The sequence below is a fragment of the Homo sapiens genome, chromosome 17 (genome assembly GCF_000001405.40).
Source record: "Homo sapiens chromosome 17, GRCh38.p14 Primary Assembly".
NCBI lineage: Eukaryota > Metazoa > Chordata > Mammalia > Primates > Hominidae > Homo > Homo sapiens.
The window spans coordinates 11,145,544-11,152,670 of NC_000017.11; the positions used below are offsets into that span (position 1 = coordinate 11,145,544).

At 44.3% G+C, this 7,127-nt stretch overlaps 1 annotated feature.

Moving 5' to 3' along the window:
- Positions 4,606-5,805: an enhancer, noted in NCBI's record as "CDK7 strongly-dependent group 2 enhancer chr17:11053466-11054665 (GRCh37/hg19 assembly coordinates)". NCBI's record gives its function as "activates an origin of replication core promoter dependent on BRD2, BRD4, P300/CBP, MED14 and CDK7 cofactors, with strong dependence on CDK7, by STARR-seq in HCT116 cells {active_cell/tissue: HCT116}" and the evidence as "EXISTENCE:reporter gene assay evidence [ECO:0000049][PMID:35650434]".

The following is a 7,127-nucleotide window of genomic DNA, read 5'->3' on the forward strand; positions in this document are numbered from 1 at the left end:
ATTTTTATTTGAAATAGCCAAGGCCACACAGAGCCTATTCTGGTAAGTACTGAGATAGGTAGTTAGGCCGGATATGCTGTTTTTGGTCAAGAGTAAAAAGTCATTTAAATAAACCATCAAACTATTTTTCCCATTTATTGCTTCTGTGCTAGTCTGTGAACAAGCTTCTCTGAAAAGGAACTCCAACATATTTTTAGCAATAAAAAAAATCATTTGGATTCGGAATGTAGATGGTACCCACGAGAATGTGACACGGTCTTACAACTATATGAAGATAATTGACCAGGGGCCCAGCCACTGAAGTGTGAAATCCATTTACCTGTTCACACAGAGGCCAGGCCTCCCCGGGCTGCTCCCAGCTCAGAAAAGAACGTAGCAGGGACTGAAGGAAGACTCATCCCTAGCAGGGACACCTCTTGATGACCAGCTTTGGCTCAAAGACATCCCAAGACTTTGCTGAACCATTTGTAGACTACACAGAAATCTAGGATGTTTCCATCAAACCTTCTCTTTCTCCATCCTTCACTCAAGGTCAAACTTGCCTCATGGTCTGATGTTTCTCCCAGCTTGCCTCCCTCTGATCCTACCCCACAGGTATTTCCTTCCTGCAGGCATTTTTCTTAAAAGACCTTGCACATTTGATCTCGTTTTGGTTTTTGCTTCTTGCAAGACTTCCAGCTTTCCACAGTAATCACTTTGAAGAATGGCGTCATCTTTGTTCTCTCTGATATCTACGTAATTGTAACAAAGAATCTGGATCCATTTTCTTGTGTTTAATTGTTGACGGCTTTTATATCTCCTTCCTTCCTCTACTCCTTGTGCCCCACATCTGGAAAGAGAGATAATAAAGCCTGGGCCCTTCCTCCTTAGCTCTAGCAGGAAATTCAAACCCTATAACCCCCTGCCCCAGCACAGGAACTTTCACCTTGGCTCTACTCCCCAACCACCATTAAAACTCAGATCAATCTCCTTTCTTCAATCTCTCAGGTTAGTTTGGACCTGCTTGGGAGGCCTGCCCTGATCTCCCAGAGAACTCAATTATATAAGTAATAAAAGTTTTCACAGTCTCTTGATGAACATGTGGCATCATCGGTTGCAACATCTAAACCAGTTTGGGAGGGAGGTCTATCCCTCTTGGAAGGTGGCCACAATAGTAATAAAATGTTGCTAGTTACCAAATATTGGAAGTGGTTAGTGTCTTAGTCATCTCAGGCTACTATAACAAAATGCCACAGACTGGGTGGCTTAAACACCAGAGATTTATATCTCGCAGTTCTGGAGGCTGGGAAGTCCAAGATCAAGGTGTTGGTGGCAGATGTGTTTCTTGGCAAAAGCCCATTTCCTGGCTTGCAGGTAGCCTTCAGCTCATTGTGTGCTCACTAGACCTTTTCTTTGGGCATGGACATGGAGACAGCGAGGTCTCTCCTCCCCTCCTTATAAGGACACTGTAGGAGTGTCCTATTTATAATCCCACTATGGGAACTCCATCCTCATGACCTCTTCTAAACCTAATTACCTCCCAAAGGCTCCACCTCCTCACACCACAACATTGGGGGTTAAGTCTTCAGCAGATGAACTTGGAAGGATGCAAACATTCAGTCCATAACAGTTACTCCGGTCCACTACGAAAAAGAAAATTTGCAACGTACCCTACATTTTCAGTTGAGGGGGTCACTAGCTATGCAGTCAGTCCTCTTCCTTCAGGGTGTGTAAAATGATGCCATTCAGAAAATCTAGCACTGCCCACCTACTCCCCACGCACCACTCTAATATAAAAAGATGGCTGAGAGAGAGAGGAGGTGGCATTTTGAAGAAATGTCATGTTTACAAAAAGTAGCTCTCTCTTCTCTCCAAGGCTGAGGGAAGGCGCCACCAAGACAAACCACCACACAGTGGGAAGTGCCTAAATCTTTTCTCCCTCCACTAATTCTGGGATGAGAAGATCATCTTGTCAGAAAGGTGACAAACGAATGGACTGGCAAACCTAATTACCAGTAGGGCATGTCAATAAAGGTAGAAGAGAGAAGATACGGCTGCAATGGGGGGAGACTTCCGTGGGGGAGCCAGAACTCCTCACATTTTCATGTGGCAAAGATGTGTAAGTTTTCTAAGACATAAAGGTAGATAGCTCCAGATATCTTGAAGCTATTTCAGCCTATAAGGCTGCAGGCATGGTATGGGGGACAAAGAAGCAAGATGGGATAGGCCTGTAGTGAGTTTTGGGAGGAGGGGGATATATTGAAATTGAGAAACAAATCCAAAGGAATGTGCAGGCAGTGGGTCCCCCAGGGCTCTCAGAAACACCAGCCAACACCCTCTCTGAAATAACCAGTATTCTTGGAATCTGACAGCTATGTGTCTTGGAGACTTGATACACAGTTAGAATCGATGGCTACTGGCTGTCGGAAAACAGACAAAAGCCAACAGAAAGAAGTGGTGACTTTGCTACGGGTCAGCCAATAAGGGCCCCGTGGCACTCCTCTCCTTCCTTTGGGCTATGACATCGATGCGGTATGTGCCACCTCTATATTCAAGCCACGAGCCACAAGTGTAACCCCTATAGGCAGGGATTGGTGAGGAGGACCTTAAAATGATTATAAAATTAACCATCAAAATAAACAACACTGAATCTAAGAGAAAGGATGTAAGACGGATCTAATAACTAAAAGTGATCAAAGAACAATGGAATTCAACTGTGCTATCGGGAGGAGAATCCACTATCACGTGGGGGAAACGTTGAATGAAACACAAGTCGCAGCAGAAATTGAAAAAAAAATGATTTCGTGTTTTCGTTTTAGTGAGCTGACACTCTTTTTTAAATTAATTTTTTAAACTACAGGCCAGGCGTGGTGGCTCACACCTGTAATCCCAGCACTTTGGGAGGCCGAGGCGGGTGGATCACCTGATGTCAGGAGTTCAAGACCAGCCTGGCCAACATGGGGAAACCCCGTCTTTACTAAAATACAAAAAATTAGCTGGACATGGTGGCGGGCGCCTGTAAACCCAGCTACTCGGCAGGCTGAGGCAGGAGAATGGCGTGAACCCGGGAGGCAGAGCTTGCAGTGAGCCGAGATCGTGCCACTGCACTCCAGCCTGGGCGACAAGAGTGAAACTCCGTCTCAAAAACAAGTAAATAAATAAAACTACGAAAACATTTTCAAAGAAATGAGAAAACATTACCTTTAATTTGATGCCCCCCTATAGATATATGCAATTAATTGCTTTCCCGTTTTTAGACAAGTTAATTTAAACTAGGTTATGTCCATTACGTTCAGCCACTGGGCTCGTACTCACATCTCTCCACTTTGAATATCTGTCCTCCCAGTTCAATTTGTATCTCAAAATTTATAATTTTATATTGCTAGAGAAACAAAACCATCTTTTTTTCTCTTCCTTCAGGGACTCTGGGGAAGAGAATGGGGAAGAGAATGTCCCTTGGCTAAGAATTTAATCTAGCTCTTTCCAGAACTAATTACAAAACCTCTGTGAGGCGTTTGGGTAGTTATAAGAGCAGTTCTTAAGCGGCATAAAGCTGGAAAATGGGCCCATTTCTTATTTTCAACAGGTCCTAGGAGTCACAGTTTGAAAGGGTGGGAGTACTTACATTGTTCAAAGGTAAATTACATAAGGTGTTAACTACATGGAGAGAAGAGGCTTTGAAAACTACGGGGATATTTAAAAAGTATTTCTCTTCCATTTTATGGGCTTAGACTAATAGATCTGATAGTTAATATTTATCTTTGAGAGCTGTGTGTACGTGCAGTGGAGAAAAGTGTGGTTGATGAGTGCAAGGTTGCAGGGAGAGCCCACAGCTTCCAATGAGCAATCAATAGGCTATGAAGATTGTCTCCAACTCACTGTGGTATGGAGACCCCAAGGGGACCGGATGAGGAGTGTCCAGGCCAGCTCGGGACGATTCTGTGGGACTGGGGATGCCAAGTCCACCATCAACTCTCTCTGGGATACTGTCTTAAATGGACTGAGAGCTAGATAAAAGTTCTGCTAGTGGGGAAGGAGGCAGCTACTGGTTTGAGATCAGTCTCTGCAGGGAGGAAGAACATTTTGCTGAAATGAATAATGAATCACAGGAAGGAGAATAGGGAGAGATGCTTCTCAATAAGGAGCAGACCCCCAAAATAAGGGTGTATGGCTAGGAATTAGGGGAGCCCATAAGAGCATCCCTATACGGATTTCATATTGTGTTTTTCCTTTGTATTATGGCAACGGAAATTTTAGATATCTGTGCTCTTGTATTATGGTTTCCTTTTGTTATTACAATCCTGCAGAACAGTCGACATGCATACAGACATATACATATATATCAAAGGAGATCAGAGGCGTTCTGCATGTTATGGCGGTAGACACATGCACATATGCCTACCAGCAGTGTTGTGAAGAACAGCATAATGAAGGAAGTAGGGCCTGGCCAATTTGCCCTTCTGAGGGTGCCACGCAGAGGAAGAGGCATCCTAGAGAAAACCTCCTTCCCAAATAAACGGTCAGAGGCCCAAGATAGAGCTGGGAGCCGTGGGAAGCAAAGCAGAATGGTGAGTCTTGGAAGGCTTGTAAATGAAGCCCTTTCTCCTTCCCCGTATACATGAAAAGCAGCTGACCTTTCAAAACGAGAAGAGGCTGACGTGTAGGTTACTCTACTCACTCCTCGGGACCATCTTCTCAAATGCCACATCCTTTACTAAGCTTTCCCTGAGCTCATCCAAGCTGGAAAAAATTCTTCACACCTCTGAAAGCTGAGAGCCCTTGATTTGGGCCTCCCTTATGGCACTGAACAATTTCTGCTTTAAAAAAGTTATTTTGGAAAGCAACTCCTTTGTTCAGATACCTTTGGTTTGCCCCCCACTCCCCCCAGCCCCACTTCACTTTTTATTCTCTCCATCCCTTTTTCAGCTGAGCGGCTGCAAAACACCAATAGACCCACATACTCTCCAGCGTCTGCGGGAATGGGCCTGGGAGGAGCTGTCACAGCGGGAAGAAAAGAGGTCGGGATATGTAATACCTCAGTGCTTTCCCTGAAAGGTCACCTCATGGTGACTACATACGTCTTTCAACTGAATGTCACTCCTTTCAAGGTGCCTGAAACGGTAAGACCCTATCCCTTTGTGTCTGGAATTGGTTCCTTCCCGTGGGTCCTTGGTCCTGCTAACTTCAAGAATGAAGCCGAGGACCCTCGCGGTGAAAAAGTTCTTAAACATTGCACGTCCGGAGTTTGTTCCTTCACGTGTTCAGAAGCGTCCAGAGTTTCTTCCTTCTGGTGGGGTTGTGGTGTCACTGACTTCTGGGGTAAAGCCCCACACCTTTGCAGTTAGTGTTACAGCTCTTAAAGGAAACGTGTCTGGAGCTGATCATTTCTCCCAGCGGGTTCGTGGTCTCACTGGCTTCTAGAGTGAAGCTGCAGACCCTCGCAGTGAGTGTTACAGCTCATAAAAGTGGCACGTCCGGAGTTGTTCGTTCCTCCCAGTGGGTTTGTGATCTTGCTGGCTTCCGCAGTGAAGCTGCAGACCTTCGGCATGAGTGTTACAGCTCATAAAAGCGGTGAGTCCAGAGTTGTTTATTTTTCCCAGTGGGTTTGTGGTCTTCCTAACGTCAGGAGTGAGGCGGCAGATTTTCAAGGTGAAGATTACAGCTCACAAACGCAGCGCGCAGTCAGAGTGAGCACTAAGATTTATCGCAAAGAATGAAAGAACAAACCTCCCACGACCTGCAATAGGACCGAGTGCGTTGCCACTGCTGTCTCTGGTGGCCTGCTTTTATTACCTTATTTGGCCCCACCCACATCCTGCTGATTGGTCCATTTTACAGAGTACTGATTGGTCCGTTTTACAGAGTGCTGATTGGTCCATTTTACAGAGTGCTGATTGGTCTGTTTTTACAGAGTGCTGATTGGTGCATTTACAAACCTTTAGCTAGACACAGAGTGCTGATTGGTGCATTTATAATCCTTCAGCTAGACAGAAAAGTTCTCCAAGGCCCCACCCGACCCAGAAGCCCAGCCGGCTTCACCTCTCACCTTTCCAAATTCCAGCATCTACCACCCACCTTACTTCTGAAGGGGCTAGGGATGATAATACCTCAGTACTACTTACCCAGATAACCACAATGCTCCTTAAGCCTCACCTATATTCATTCCTCTGCAAGTAGATCTTCAGCTTAACTTACTCTGTGTATACTAAATGTTTATTATTGGTATGTTACCTTGCACATCCTCTTCCTATACTATAAATAAATTGAGAGCACATTAATAAATGCTTGCATTATGCCTATATCTGACCACGGCTAAAAGAGAGTCTTGTATATTATAGGTGCCGGATAACCATTTATTTAATGATATGCCTACTTGTCTATTTCTGGCACAGAGTTTATCAACCTTGGGGCTACTGAAACCTTCGGCTGGGTGGGACTCTTTGCTGTAGCGGGCTGTCTGGTGTGTTTGGCAGCATCCCTAGTTTCTGTTTACTGCATACCAGTAACACTCCAGTCCCAGTTGTGACAACCAAATATGTCTGCAGACATCGTGAAAAGTCCCCTGAGGAGCTGTATCACACCCAGTTGAGATTCGCTGCCCTAGATGTTTGCTACTTATGCCGTTTTAGCATTCTTGTTACCAAAAACAATACCTTTACTTTGTAATAGTAGTTCATAATCTACATATATGTGTATACACAAGCACACCATGGCTGAATGCACATATTGAATTCCATAAACATGAATCATTCAAAGTTGCAGAGTCTGACATATACAAATACATGTGCACATGTGAAAAATGTATTTGAAAGGGGCTGTCAAAGTTAGGAAATCAAAGACAGTTTTTCTTATTTTTTCTTCATTATCGAATGGAAAAAAAATCACCTACAAATTGGAGATAATATTAAATGAGATCTCTTTGACCTTTACAGAGTTGCACTTAGATCTTCAAAAGATCATAGGCATAAGTGGAAATGTAAAAGTGCTAAACATAGCGCATGAAATAGGAAATAATCAAAAGAAGGTGCTTCAAAGTACAACAGTAAGAACACAAGTGTCTGCCAATCCCTTCCCCCACATCCAGATATTCACTGAGATGACCCATGGTTTGCAGGCACAGGGAAACGTATCACAATGCCCTTTAATTT